Consider the following 16,280-nt stretch of genomic DNA (forward strand, 5'->3'; position numbering starts at 1 on the left):
TATATGAGGCACTGTTAGAAGTTGTGGAGATATGAAAACGAGACCAAAGAATGTCTTACCAAGGAGTGTAAGACAGATGATGTTAAGGGCCACAGGAGGGTAGATATTACTAAGATGCTGAGAGTCAGCAAGGGGAGAGAACTCACCCAGTTGGAGTCAGAGAAGCCTACCAAGAGGAAGGCATACTTAAGAAGAGCACTGAAAGATAAGGAATGCAATAAGGAATTCCAAGTAGAAGGAAACACCTCAGCTGGGCAAGGGGGCTCATGCCTGTAATCCCAGTGCTTTGGGAGGCTGAGGCCGGAGGACTGATTGAGCCTGGGAGTTTGAGGCTGCAATGATCACACCACTGTGCTCCAGCCTGTGTGACAGAGCAAAACCCTGTCTCTAAAAAATGAAAATAAAGAAGGAAACACCTTAAACCAAGACCCACAAATGAAAAAGTACTGGGCATGTTTTAAATATGACTGATGCTTCTGTGTAGTCAAAGGTATAAGGAGATGAGGCTAGAAGGAAGAGAAGCCATGTTATAAAGGCATCTGAATGTCAGAGTTTGGATTTTACTTTGCAGGTAAACAGGAGCCATTGAAAATTTTTCTGCAGGGAAGTTCTATGACCAAGTAGCATTTTAAGAAGAATAATCTGGCAGCAATATATGTAAGTAATCATCATGACAAGGACTGAAGTCAAGGAATCCCGTTAGAAGGCTACTAGAATAGTCTAGGGGGAGTAATAGCCTAAACTAGGCTTGTGTGTGTGTGCGTGTGTATATGTGTATATATATATATATGACATATATAGAGAGACATATATATGAGACATATATATAGAGACATATATATGAGACATATATATGAGATATATATAGAGACATATATATGTGACATATATATAGAGACATATATATGAGACATATATATAGAGACATATATGAGACATATATAGAGACATATATATGAGATATACATAGAGACATATATATGAGACATATATAGAGAGACATATATATGTGAGACATATATATGTAGACATATATATGTGAGACATATATATGTAGACATATATATGTGAGACATATATAGAGACATATATATGTGAGACATATATATGAGACATATATATGTGAGACATATATATGAGACATATATATGTGAGACATAGATATGTGAGACATAGATATGTGAGACATAGATATGTGAGACATAGATATGTGAGACATATATATGTGAGACATAGATATGTGAGACATATATATGTGAGACATAGATATGTGAGACATAGATATGAGACATAGATATGAGACATATATATATATACATATGAGACATATATATGTATATATATGAGACAGGGTCTTGCTCTATTGCTCAGGCTGGAGCACAGTGGCATGATCATAGCTCCATAATCTTAGATTCATAAGCTCAAACAATTCTCCCACCTCAGCCTCCCAAAGTGCTAGGAGTACAAGCATGAGCCATTGTGGCCAACCCAGATACATATATTTTTAAATGTTTCATTGATAAAACCTACAGAACTTAGTTATTGATTGGATGTAGTTGATACAGGAAAGGAAGTCTTGACTCCAAGGTGTGTGTCCAGAGCTGATAGAAGTGTAATGGTGCCATTAACATAAATTTAAAAATCAGAAAGAAGCTCAGAAGTGTAGGGGGAGGGGAGGTCTTTGTTTTGGGATGTATTGAAATGTCAGTAGAATATTTAGATAAAATGTCTAGCCAGTATTTAAAATACAGAAAGTAAATGATTTGTGGCTGAATATATAGACATAATGACTAGCTTCATAGTAATAGGAGTAGTAAAAATCACACACACAAAAAATTGTAATGCTGAGTGTTCAGTTCCTGAGCAAGGAGTGTGGTAGTTTAAGGGAGGGGCTGTCATCATCCTTGCTTTCAAGTTAAACTGTTAATTAAATTCCCCCCAATGCTAGCTTGGCTTATGCCCAGGAATGATCAAAGATAGCTTGGAGATCAGAAGCAAGAAGAGTCAACTATGTCAGGTTTCTGTTAATGTCATAGTTATGAAAAGGTGGTCTCATACGGATTTTGGATGAGAGAGTTTCTTTTCTTTTCTTTTTTGTTTGTTTGTTTGTTTTGTTTTGTTTTTTTGAAATGGAGTCTCACTCTGTTGCTCAGGCTGGAGTACAGTGGTGCGGTCTCGGCTCACTGCAACATCTGCCTCCCAGGTTCGGCGATTCTCCTGCCTCAGCCTCCCAAGCAGCTGGGATTACAGGAGAGCACCACCATGTCCGACTAATTTTTGTATTTTTCATAGAGACAGGGTTTCATCATGCTGGCAGGCTGGTCTCAAACTCTTGACCTCAAGTGATCTGCCTGCCTCGACCTCCCGAAGTGCTGGGATTAAAGGCACGAGCCACCGCGCCCGGTCATGACGAGAGAGTTTCTAGTTGAGGGGTGTTTACTGCCTGTATATGGAATGTTAACTGAAAACTACACCTATCACTGAAGGACATAAAATGATCCTGATACCTGAAATACCCATACTGTCTGGGATGATGTCAGATAAATATGTTAATGAGGATGGCAGTTCCCAGAGTTCCATACTTAAATAGCAATGGTTTGTATAGGATCATGCCACCTGGGGAATGCCAGAAGGAGATACTCACAGGCACAGATCTTCTTTTTCCCTAAAACTGACTCTGGAACTACGTGAGGAGCTGCCAGTTTCCATGGTTCCTGATAAGCAGTTCCCTCACTGACAAAAAGCTATTGGATTTGTGGATGGCAGTTTCAAAGTGAAAGGACCACCTCTTGTTTGGAAGGCTGCTCCTCTGATTATTTATCAAAATGAGCCTCCAGGCCACACCCAGACTCCTGGAGCTGGTGGGGCAGAGCCTGCTGAGGAACCAGTTCTTGGCCATCTTCACCCTGGAGGAGCTGCCCAAGGAGGTCTTCTGTCTGCTGTTCACTGAGGCCTCCACCAGGAGATGCTGTGAGATTCTAAAGGCCATGGTGCAGGCCTGGCCCTTCCCCCGCCTCCCTCTGGGTTCCCTGATGAAGACACCTCATCTGGAGACCTTGCGAGCTATGCTGAAGAGACTTGATACACTACTGGCCAGAAGGTTCGCCACAGGAGGTAGAAACTTCAAGTGCTGGATTTGCGGGATGTTGATGAGAATTTCTGGACCATATGGTCTGGAGCCAGGGCCCTGTCCTGCTCCCCAGAGGCCATGAGTATGAGGCAGACAGTGGTGGACTGTCCAAGGACAGGAGAGCACCAGCCCTTGAAGGTGTTCATAGACCTCTACCTAAAGGAAAACACCCTGGATGAATGTCTGCGCTACCTCTGTGGGTGGATCCACTACAGAAGAGGTTTAGTACACCTGTGTTGTAGTAAGGTACAGAATTACTCAATGCCCACTTCAAATTTCGGAAATTTATTGGAAAAGGTATACCCAGACAGCAGTATCCATGATTTGGAAGTCTGGAAAAAGTGCTCGCTGAATAGAACAGGAAAGTTTGCCCCTTACCTGGGCCAGATGAGCAATCTTCACAAACTCTTTTTAGCCTTCAGTTATGGGTGTGAGTTATACATGTGCGGCCAACAGCAGTTCATTCCTGACTTGGACTCTCCATTCCTCTGCCTGGAACCCCCAGATGCTTTGAATAAGAAAGGTCAATAATATCAAAGAGCACCTGCTCAGGTGCCTCAAGAACCCCTTGGAGGCCTTTACATTCTGTCATGCTTACCTAGCTGATCGGGACATGGGGTGTCAGTACCCAAGCCTCAGTCAGCTAAAGCAGCTGCATCTGATTCATATCCTAATGTGGACCACCAATCTTGAGCCCCTTGGAGCTCTGCTAGAGAAAGCTGCTGCTACTATCGAGACCCTCGTCTTAGAGGACTGTCGGATCCAGGACTCCCAACTCATGGTCATCCTACCTGCCCTGAGCCGCTGCTCCCAGCTCACCACCTTCTACTTTCATGGAAATGAGACCTCCATGAATGCTCTGAAAGTTCTGTTGCATCACACAGGTGAACTGAGCAAGTTAGGCCTGGAGACATATCCTGCCCCTCTGGAGAGTCTTAACAACAGGGGTCATGTCAGTTGGGAGATCCTCGCCCCAATTCAGGCTGAGCTGATGCGTACACTCAGGGAAGTAAGGCAGCCCAAGAGGATCTTCTTGGTCCTGCCCCCTGCCCTTCCTGTGGCTCATGGCCATCTGAGAAACTGGAGCTGCATCTTCGCTTCTAGGGAAGGCCTGGTTAGTGGGGTGGATAGGCTTTCTCCCGGACACTTGGGCACTAAAATCTAGGACGTAGGTACATTTTGTTGTTGTTGTTGTTGTTTTGAGACAGAGTCTCACTCTGTCACTCAGGCTGAAGTGCAGTGGCACAATCTCAGCTCACTGCAACCTCCGCCTCCCAGATTCAAGTGATTCTCCTGCCTCAGCCTCCTGAGTAGCTGGTGTTACGGGCGTGCGCCAACATGCCCAACTAATTTTTGTATTTTTAGTAGAGACAGGGTTTCACAAGTTGGTGAGGCTGGCCTCGAACTCCTGACCTCAAGTGATCTGCCCACCTCTGCCTTCCACAGTGCCAGGTTTACAGGCATGAGCAGCCGGGCCCGGTCAGGTGCATCTTAAAGGAAGCACAGAGCCAGTGTGTTTCAGGCACGTGCTCACTGTGATTAGAAAAACAAAGGTGACTAAGCAGGGGACAGTACTGGGTGAAAATGCTAACTTGGCGTCCATGAGGCCTTCAGGGACCTGTGTCCTAGAGTCAGAACCTGAAGTTCTAGAGTGATGCAGGAGTTACTCCCACAAGGATGGTTATTTAAAAATGTCAAAAATAAATGGAACCTGAATGGAAAAAAAAAAATCGTAATTCTAACACATAGCTGAGACCAGGAATTAGGCTAAGATAATTAAGCTAAAATATATACATATATAAAATTTTTTTAAAAAGCCCTATAAATTATATGTTGTTTGTCTTTATCTGTTTTGCATTGCTAGAACAGAATACCTGAGGCTGGATATAAAGAAAAGAGCCTTATTTGGCTCACAATTCTGGGGACTGGGAGGTCCGAGATTGGGCAGCTGCATCTGTTGAGGGCCTAAGGCTGCTTCCACTCATGGCTATCAGTGGAAGGGGAGCAGACATGTGCAAAGAGGTCACATGGCAAGAGGGGAAGCAAGAGAGAGAAACTGAGGAAGCCAGATTCTAAAAGCCCACTCTCACCAGAACTAATCCATCCCCACAAGAGGAAGAACTGACTCACCCCCACAGAGGGCATTAATCTATTTATGAGAGAGCTGCCCCTGTGAACCCAAACCTCCCAGCAGATCCCACCTCCCAACACTGCGACATTGGGAATCAAATTCCAACACGAGTTTGGGCAGGGACAAACCACATCCAAACTATAGTACTGTTACTATCCATGCTTAGAGATGAACAGAACTAGGTTAGAGAGATTAGGTAAACGAGGATTTGAAGCCAGGTATTCTGACTTCCAAAGACTGCACTCTTGGCCACCATGCTTTACTGCATCTGTAAGGGCTATTTTGACAGCTAGTGTGCAGAGAACACGTGAGTGGTGGGGAAGTGGATGCAGTAGGCAGTGGAATGAAAAAGAACAAAAGAACAGAAGGCAGCAATGGCAGGACCCAGGGGAACAGATAGAAGCCTAAGCAAATGTATAAGTCTGGGGAGATCCTGAAGAGAAGCCTAAGAAAGGCTAATTGGCACAGAAGGACCCAGGAGGAAGTTGGAAGGGATGGAATTAGAAGGCCTAGGAAGGAGTTAGCCTGGTCAAAGAAAAGAGAGACTTTTCTGGAACAAAGAAGGAGGAAGGTGAAAGTACCAAGGAATTCTGAGGAGAAGCTGAGAGATCTTAGCTGTCATGGTCAAATTTTATCCCCCAAAAAATGTTGAAGTCCTAACCTCCAATATCTGCGAATGTGACCTTATTTGGTGTCTGCTGTTGATCAAGTCAACATGAGGCCAGTGGGTTGGGCCCTAATCCAATATGACTGTATCCTTATAAAAAGGGGAAAAATGGACACTAAGACAGAGACATGGGGAGAATGCCATGTGAACCTGAAGGCAGAGATCAAGATGATATGCCTACAAGTCAAGGAATACCAAATATTGAAATTGTTCTTTTTTTTTTTTTTTTTGAGATAGTCTTGCTCTGTTGCCCAGGCTGTAGCATGATCTTGGTTCACTGCAACCTCCATCTCCCAGGTTCAAGCAATTTTCCTGCCTCAGCCTCTCGGGTAGCTGGAATTACAGGCACCTGCCAAATCACCCAGCTAATTTTTGTATTTTTTTAGTAGAGACAGGGATTCACCATGTTAGTCAGGCTGGTCTCGAACTCCTGAACTCAAGTGATCCACCTGCCTCGGCCTCCCAAAGTGCTGGGATTACAGGCATGAGCCACTGTGCCTGGCCCAGATATTGCATTTGAAATGCAATATTGAGAAGACATCCAGAAGCTAGAAGTGAGGCATGGAACAGATTCTCCCTCACAGCCCACAGAAGGAACACTTGTATCTTGGGCTTCTGGCCTCCAGAACTGTGATAAAAAATTTCTGTTGCTTAAGTTACTCACTTTGTGGCACTTTTTATTATGGCAGCCCTAGCAAACTAATACAGTGACCTTGACTTTCTCAAGAAATAGGCAACTTGTTCCCCATATCACATAGCTTCTGTAAAGAAAGACTTCTGGCTCGGTCCAGGGCCAACCCAGGTGTGGTTGGTGGAGATAATATTATAAGTGTAGCACTTGGGCCACAGCTTAGGAGAAATCAAATGGGAAAAGTCTTTTTCCCTTCTCCCTCCAGGGACTCGAACAGCAACTGATTTCCTCATCCAACTTGACCCTCCAAGGTGTCCTGGGAACAGGGTGCAGGAGTGCAAGGTAGGCATGCTCCCTGAACTGAGCTGTAAGGAACCTGGCTTGCTTTGGTCAAGGATAGGCCGAGGTAAACGTTCAGAGTGACTCAGTGAGTTTAGAGCGCAGGCGTATAACTCCACTTGTTGTCATGCCATGTAGACATAACATAGAGAAGCTCACCACCATAGTCATAATATAGGGAAGGCTCATCACTTGGCTCTAAGCCGCTATTGTCTATAAAAGGTATAATTGCTTTGCCGACACTGTACAGGCACACTGGTGTCCAGAGAAAGAGCCAAAGCTGTCCATCTTTGCAGATGGACAGAGGGGAGCCAGGATGCAGCTTGGCTCACTCATGTCCAGAGAGAGAAAGAGTTAAGCTGCTGACCCTGAAGGCAAAGGAGAGCCAACCATGCAGCTGTGTGTGGGAGCCACTGAACTAACCAGCTGAGACAGGGTGGACAGTGTGAGAAAGCTGTTGATGAGAGCTGATGCTGAATAAAATCATCTTTCACCTGCCTACAGCCCCCCAAGTGTTCTTTCTTCTCATCCACCCACTCCCTTCGGACTGCAACATGACATTTGGCATAATCGTGAACCTGACATAAGCATAACTGAGGCAGGCAGATGTAAGACCTGAGTGTGCAAAGGGCCCTTCTAGGGTGGAATTTATACCTATGGCCAGGGCACTGAGACATCCAGCTCACCCTGGATGTCGCCATTAGCATAGCTCACTTGGCATTTGAGGTTACATTAGATCCCTTGAGGTATTGTTGTGAGGCTGGCTTTTTTTTTTTCTTTGAGGAGAAAAAGGAGGAATTCATTTTTATTTTCACAAGGTCTCCAGAAGCCTGGGTTGGTGCAGGTGGGAATGTGCAGCTGACATTGAAGCCTGTGGGAGGGTGGGAAGGAGCCCCACTGGGGATAACACACCCCTGGCCCCCACTTAGCTTTTACTCCTATCTCGGTGGTCTATGAGTCTTTGGTCCCCAGTAGCCCTACTGGTCAGGGACTGTGTCTCATTCTTTTTGATGGCCCCACAGTGCCTAACCTAGCGCCTGACACAGTCAGTCCCCAGTGAATATAGAGTAGTGGCTCAATAGCTTCTTCAATATTAGAACAATGATGAATGTTTCCATGTTTCCCATTCCAAAAGCAGATTTAGAACACTGACACCCATTTAGAAGCAGGATCAAAGCCCACAGCATAAGGGCTATTCTGACACTGTTGATACCACCTATTCCAGCACACCACCTTCCAAGGTCAAAAGCAACTGCTCCCCTCCATTTCCCAGCTGTCCTGCCTGGGAAAAACAGGATTGTAACAGAACAGGAAGTATTAAGTAGGAAAACACTAGAAGTTAGAATTGTAAAATGTAGTAACACACTAGATGCCTGAAGACTCCTTAAGCAGGCCTGATGGAAAGCTGGGAAGGAGGAGGGACAATTGTGAAAGAGACCAAAAGACCAGGTGCTTGAAAAACTTTGGTTCCCTGACTAATTAGTGGAGTCAAATGGAAAGACAGCCCAAGAGAGGACATTGCGGGTAAGGTGGAAATGGAAACCAGGCCATTAAAAATATATAAAGAAGAGCCTTGCAAGGAACTCCATAATCAATAACAAAGACACATACCCCTGAACATAAAATAAAAGTTTGAAAAAAAAAAAAAGACGTGAAAGAGAGAAAGCCAGCTAAGGACTCACCAACAGCAATGACACCTCCGGTGCAGATAGCACTTTATAAGGTGCTTTCATGTATAACAACATAGAGAGTAAGATAGGACTTTGTATTCCCACTTTATAGAGTGGGCAGCTGAAGTTCAGAGAGGGCATATAATTTATCTACAGTCACACAGCTGGTAAGTGGCAGAGCCTGTTCTCTAGCACTCAGAATGGAAAAGGATTCAGTGAATAGGCTGAAAGAATTCTTTATCTTTGTCTCACCAAAGGAGGTGGTAAATTTGCCACTAAAATAGACAAATAAATATGTTCTCCCTACCATGCAGCAGCAGCACAGCATAGCTAAGGCATGGTTTCTGGAGTCCAACAGACCTAGGCTCCAGCCGTAGCTCTTCTACCTACTAATGAGAGACCAGGAACAAGCTGTTTAATCTCTCAGAACTTAATTTCCACAACTGAAAGATAGGAATAATACTAGAGTTATTTTGAGGGGGGAAAACATGGTTGTGTATGTAATAAAATTGCTAATATTTATAAAGTGCTTAGTGTTTTCTTTTTCTTTCTTTTTTTTTTTTTGAGATGAAGTCTCGCTCTGTCACCCAGGCTGGAGTGCAGTGGCACTATCTCGGCTCACTGCAAGCTCCGCCTCCCGGGTTCATGCCATTCTCCTGCCTCAGCCTCCCAAGTAGCTGGGACTACAGGCGCCCGCCACCATGCCTGGCTAATTTTTTATTTCTAGTAGAGACGGGGTTTCACCATGTTAGCCAGGATGGTCTCAATCTCCTGACCTCGTGATCCACCTGCCTCAGCCTCCCAAAGTGCTGGGATTACAGGCGTGAGCCACCACACCCAGCCAGGTTTTTTTAACAATAACATGTTTTCTATTGAAAACTTAAAGTAAATTTTAACACCAAGTCTCCCAATTTTGGGTGAAACAAGCACACCCTCCTTTCCCCTCCCACCCTCACCGTTCTTTTCACCATCTCCTGGAAAGATCAAGAAGGAAGGGTTTGAGGGGGCTGGTTAGGTGCCCAGGCCAGGTGGGCCTGTGGGAGCTCTGACCACTCATCTAGCAGCAGTTAAGCATTTATCTGAAATGGATGCTGCAGATGGATGGAGAATCCTTCTGCAAAGACTAGCACAGTCTGAGGTGATGCCAGGGAGCTCTGCCCCACATTTCAGTCCCCCAAAGCCATCCCACCATGCTACCACTTTCTTTGAGGCCCAAAGAGCTTCTGTCTTCTCAAAAGGCCCCCTAGTAAAAATGGAAGTATTTCTGTAGGTGTTAAGCATATCAGCTAACACTTTTCTTATCAGCCACAGCACCTTTGTTATCAGCGAACACCTTGGCTCAAATTACTTGACAACTTTCAGAGTGTGTGTGCACAGAAGAAACCCCTGTTTTGTCCCTGGTAGAGGAAGGTGAAGGGTGGCAATAAGGGTTTAGGGAATGCAAAGTGAACAGGGAGAATTTTTAGAGGAGACCCAAGATAATGCTTTGCTTGCCCTGCACTCATGAGAGAGGGGACAGGGGGAGATGCAAGAGGTGCGTGTGTTCGTGTGTGTATGTGTTTGTGTGTGTTATATAATCTGTGTAAGGACTCCTGGGAAGCAGACATCAAGTTCTGAGAAGAGGATTGCAGAGAAGTTTGCATGGCCTGAATGGGGAGTGTAGACCCTCAAGGGATGCCTGAATCTGTTGTTGTAAAATGTTTTAAATCAATCATTTAAAAAATTTATTTAATAACTAGCCTCTCTCCTAATACCCAATTTGTACTTGCTTCACTTATGAAAAGCCATTTGAATATTTACCTTCCAAATCAGATCATTCTGAGCATCCAGTCAGTAGTTACACTATGAAAAACTTGTTAACAGGCAAGAGAGGCTATAGTTTATAGCCAGCACCTGGTAGCTGGGAACAGTGAGCTATGACAGATGCAGGGGGAGGGGATGTGTCCTGTTTCAGGGGCTGATCGTTGATACCAGATCCTGCTCCCCAAATCACACCTCTCAAATATTAGCTCAGCGTAGATGGCATCCACACCTCCTCTCTCTCATAGTAAGGGAATCAGGGGCATCTCCAGGTGTATACTCCACCTAGCTCTCAGCATCATTCACTCCATTTTGTTCTCCTAAGTTCTCCTAGGAATCTTCCACTAATATATTTTAGTGTGGCTCCAGGGAATAAAAGAGACAAAACCAATGGCTTACTGAGAATAATATTTTAAGTGATATTTAATGCTTCAGATAATTGGTCATAACAAGATAAAAGGTCAGTTTACCAAATTATAGATACAATGTTATCCCAACACTATAAAAATATACTGTTACGTATATATGTATATGCAAAAGAAAATACATGAAAATATTAACCTGGTTAATATTAACATTAACAATGGATATCTCTGCGCACTGAGACTGAGGGTGACTTCTGTTAGCTTTCCTCAAGTCCATTCACTTCTCTCCAGGTCTTTGGCATCACCTAGTCATGTCACTATCATCTCCCTCCTGATCTTCTACAGTAACCTCCTAAATGATCAGCCTGCAGCTGGTCTTACCAATTCACTCCCCACACAGAATCAAGACTGAACTTCTTCAAATGCAAATCTGGTGACCATGGAGACAGGATGACAAACTGGCACCAGCTGCTTGCTCCTTCCATGAAACCCAACCCTAGAGATGTCCAAGAAGCAAACGTGAGCTTATTAGATTCAATGCTTATTGCAAAAACTATTTTTTTGGTTTGTATGCTTGTTTGTTGATTGGTAGGGAGTTAAAGGTTGGTTAGGTTTTGGAGTTGTCACAAGGACAGAAAATGGCAGCCTACAGCAGACAAGGGCTAGAAACTTTGGACAGTATATTAGCTTCCTATTGCTGTGTAACAAATTATTGCAAATTTAGCACCTTAAAACAACATACTTTTAGCGTCTCTCAGTTCCTGTGAGTCAGGCATCCAGACATGGCTCAGCTGGGCCCTTTGCTCAGGGTTTCACAAGTCTGTGATCAGTGTCTGGACTGCATTTCTTTCTGGAGCTCCAAGTTCTCCTTCTCAGCTCATATAATTGTCAGCAGAGTTAGTTCCTTGCGTTTGTAGGACAGAGGTCCCTGCTCTCTTGCTGGCTGTCAGTAAGGGCCACTGTCAGCTCCTAGAGGCCCCCACAGTTCCCTGTCATATGGCTTTCTGACAACCTGGCCACTTACTTCTTCAAAGCCAGCAGGGAAGCTCACTCTATCTCCATCTTACTAAGATGGAATCTTATATAATGTAATATAATCACAGTGTGACTATTCCACCATATTCACAGGTCCTACCCACATTCAAGGGGAGGAGACTATAAAGGGTGTGTATACCAGGAGACAGGAATCCTGGGGATCATCTCAGAATTCCACCTACCACAATTTGACCTCTGGCCTCCAGTAATTCATATTCCTCCCACATGAAAAATACATTCACCTTATCTGTTACAGGCTAAATTGTGTCGCGCAAAATTCATACATGAAAGTCCTAACTCCCAGTATGTGACTGTATTTGGAAATAGAGTCTTTAAAGAAGTAATTAAAGGTCGGGCGCAGTGGCTCACACCTGTAATCCCAGCACTTTGGGAGGCTGAGGCAGGCAGATCACGAGATCAGGAGATCAAGACCATCCTGTCTAACATGGTGAAAGCCTGTCTCTACCAAAAATACAAAAAACTAGCCGGGTGTGGTGGCACACATCTGTAGTCCCAGCTACTCAGGAGGCTAAGGCAGGAGAATCGCTTGAACCCAGGAGGCGTTGATTGCGGTGAGCCGAGATCACGCCACTGCACTCCAGCCTGGACAACCGGGTGAGACTCCGTCTCAGAAAAACAAAAATAAATAAATGAATAAATGAATAAATAAATAAATAAATTTAAACACAGAATGACTCAAAATATACGTTTGCTTGTTTTTGAAAAAAAAAAGAAGTAATTAAATTGAGATCCTTAGGATGGGCCCTAATGTAACATGACTGGTGTCCTTATACAAAGTAGAAATTTGGGCATAGATGTATACAAAAGGAAGACCGTGTGAAGACACAGAGAGAGACAGGCATCTATAAGCCAAAGATATGGGCCCTCAGGAAAAAAAAAAAACCCTGCCAATACTTTCATTTCAGACTTCTAACATCCAGAATTGTGAGAAAAATCATTTCTGTCATCCAGGTCACCCAGTTTGTGGTACTTTGATTTGGCAGCCCTAGCTGACTAATACACCATCCCAGCATCTTCATCCCATTACATCATCAGCAAAATCTCTTCATCAAATCTCATCTCATCAGCTCAAAATCCAAAATCTCATTATCTAAATCATATAACTCAGGTACAGACAGGGATCCTGGGTACAGTCTATTAAGTACAATTCCTGGGGCACAATTTCTCTCCATTTAAGAACCTGTAAAACTTAAGAGACAAATTATCTACCCACAAGGTACCCAACATACAATGTTCAGATAGACATAGGATAATTGCTATAGACATCCTGGTTCAAAAATGGGAGAGATGAGAGATAAATAAAGGAGTCACCTGTCCATCACAGTATTGAAATTCAGCCAAGCAAATATTACATTTCCTTGATTAAGTTTCAAGGAATGGGAATAGAGACTGTTTAGCTCTCTAACCTCTGAACTCTGCACTCTGGTCTCTGAGTCATCTTTCCTTTTTGACAAAAGGTAGCTCATGTTTGCAGCTGAGTCATTTTAATCAGTCCACTTTCTGCCAGTAGCTCAGAGTCCTCTTTCAAGCCTGGTGTAGAAAGCTAGAACTAGCATATAGAGTGAGGAGGGCATATTTGCAGGTGAGGGGCTAGCAACGAAAATAGGAGATTGGTCTCGTACAGGAACACTGGTCACATAATTAAATATATTAAAGATATTGAGAGCCAGGTTTCTTACCATCAGAAAATGGATTAACAAATATGAAAAATGAGAAATATAGAATGAACTCTGTGGTTTTGGATTGGAATTGGAAGTATCCGTTTGCAATATATAGAGAGAAATATAAAAATATAGATATAAACGTGTGTGTATATCTATATATATTTCTTAGCTATGTCCACTGAGAAGTCCTGGGAAGTGAAACACCCCAAAAGCAAGAACCAAACCTGTTGCCCAGATGCGGGCTTCTCAACATCATTCTCTACTTGAAGGAACCAGGCCTCTTCAGAGAAATGTCTTGAGTTTAAGGCTTGGGCAGGGAAAGTATGAGGTGAGCTCATAACATTTTTTCCCCTCAGAAGGCAAGAAAGTACTCAAAGAATGATAGGACTATATCAAAAGCACACAAACACCAGCTTGAAGAGGCTTCCAATGGCCAAACTGGAGACAATTTGAGTATCAAAGAATGATAGTAACAGATCATAATTCATTGAATAAAATAGGAAACCATGAGCCCATACAGGTATAAAACAATAAATAAATTAATTAAAAGTTTGTTCAGGAATAGAATAGTTACAAAGCTTCAACATTTTTCACACAAAATATTCATTAATTACAAAAAGAAGTAACTTGAAACCGGAGACTAGTAGACATCATCTTAATAAAGCAACTCTTGGCTGGGAGCGGTGGCTCATGCCTCTAATCCCAGCACTTTGGGAGGCTGAGATGGGTGGATCACCTGAGGTCAGGAGTTTGAGACCAGCCTGGACAACATGGTGAAACTGCATCTCTACTAAAAATACAAAAATTAGCCAGGTGTGATGGTGCGTGCCTGTAATCCCAGCTACTCAGGAGGCTGAGGTAAGAGAATCACTTGAACCCTGGAGGCAGAGGTTGCAGTGAGTCAAGATCACGCCACTGCACTCCAGCCTGGGCAACAAGAGCAAAACTCCGTGCCAAAATAAATAAATAAATAAATAAATAAATAAAGCAACCAAAATTGACATCATCAATAATGGGAAAAATTGAAGTTTTGCACTACCTGGCATGATGCACTGAGAAGAACACAGTATCACTTCTATGTTATTCTTTCCAAAGATGCATAACCCAAGTCTATTCTGAGGAAACAGCAGATGGCTCTGAATTGAGAGACATTCTACAAAATAACTGGCCTACAATCTTCGAAAGTGGCAAGGATATGACAGTCAAGGAAAGATGAGGAACCATTTCAAATTGAAGTTAGCCAAAGATGTGATACATGCAGCATTTTGAACTGGATCCTCTTGCTATAAAGAGTATTATTGCAACACTTGGCAAAACTTGGAATGGGATCTGATAAAAATGATTCATCAAGGTTAATTTTCTTTTTTCTTTTTTTTTTCTTTTTTATTTAAGTCACAGGATTTCACTCTGTCACCCAGGCTGAAGTGCAGTGGCACAATCACAGCTCACTGCAGCCTCAACCTCCCAGGCTATAGTGATCCTCCTGCCTCAGCCCCCTGAGTAACTGGGAATTGTATTGTATATACTATATATAGTCTATATAAGCATATGGAAGAATGTCTTTGTAGGAAATAAACACTGAAGTTTTTGGGATAATAGGGAATCAGGTTAGCAGCTTATTCTCAAAGGGTTAAGGAAAAACAGTTACTTCTACCATACTTGTACGTTTTTAGTGTGACTGTAATCCTTTAAAAATATTTAATTTAAAAGTATACTAATAAATAAACGGGCCATGGTTTGACTACTTTTGGGCAGGCTGTCCTCTCACTCCAGCTTGTAGGCCATTTCAGGGCCTGTTGGGTTGGAGACCAATAGTTCGTTGCCAGTCTCAGGCAGGAAAATTGAACTGATTTTGTCCATGCATCAGCAGCTGCCTGAACGTGGCTCAAGATTTCCTGCCTGGCCACATTTCTGGTTAAACTTCACTGACAAATCATTCTCACTGCTCTCAAAATATTTCCCCATGTGTAACGGAGTCACCAAATCAAAGACTTAGGTCTGGCTCTAAAATCTCTCACATTCTTTAGACTACAGCTCTCTGTCTGTCCCTGAATCTTCCTAAACCAGCCAGGCACCCAGGGCTCCTCAGGAATGATTTACTTGCTATTATATTGTGGGGAATGTGGCTGACTTTTGCAAGAGATTTCCTGTCTTCTCTCAACAAGTGACTAAACTGGTTACAGCTAATTCTGCTGGGAAGTAACCAGCTGTTTTTCCACAATGCTGCAGCCATTTCCATGAATTAATTTGGGAGTATTGTAGACCCTTGAAGCAGCATAAGGCTCTGGTGCCTATAGCTTTAGTAGGATTTAGCATCCTCAGCAATGGGCTGAATATAAAGAAACATAAAATCTATTAACGGCTGCTCCTGAAAATGCCTGTGCAGTCTTGGGTGAGGTAAAGAATCTCCCTATTCTTATGAGTGATGAAATGATAGCACCACTAACCCATACCTATTGTCAAGGTGTGTGTGAGGATAAACAGAGTGTATTTGGAGAGTATTGAATTCTATATTAAGAGAATGTAGTATAGCCATATTGCCATATTTATTCAGTGTTAATAGCAGGAAGCAATTTAAAATCCTAGCCCTGCTAAATAAAGGAAGAATTATTATTACTAACAATTACATTTAGATAATAGTTTGTGTTCAGCCACTTATTTATATACTCAGCACACATTCACTGAACACATACTCTGTGCTGGTCACTGTATAGGCACAAAGGATGTAACTGTGAACAGGACAGCACAGTCCTTGCCCTCATGGTGCATAGAGCCAAATGAGGAACTGTGCAACTAGCCACTTCTTGCAAGTTTGAGGAGTAATAAA

The 16,280-nt window shown here is 43.1% G+C and overlaps 1 pseudogene; it reads left to right on the forward strand.

Annotated features, from left to right (window-relative positions):
* LOC391092 (PRAME family member 17 pseudogene) lies at window positions 2,816–4,361 on the forward strand (annotated as a pseudogene).

This window comes from Homo sapiens, chromosome 1 (genome assembly GCF_000001405.40).
Source record: "Homo sapiens chromosome 1, GRCh38.p14 Primary Assembly".
Lineage (NCBI taxonomy): Eukaryota > Metazoa > Chordata > Mammalia > Primates > Hominidae > Homo > Homo sapiens.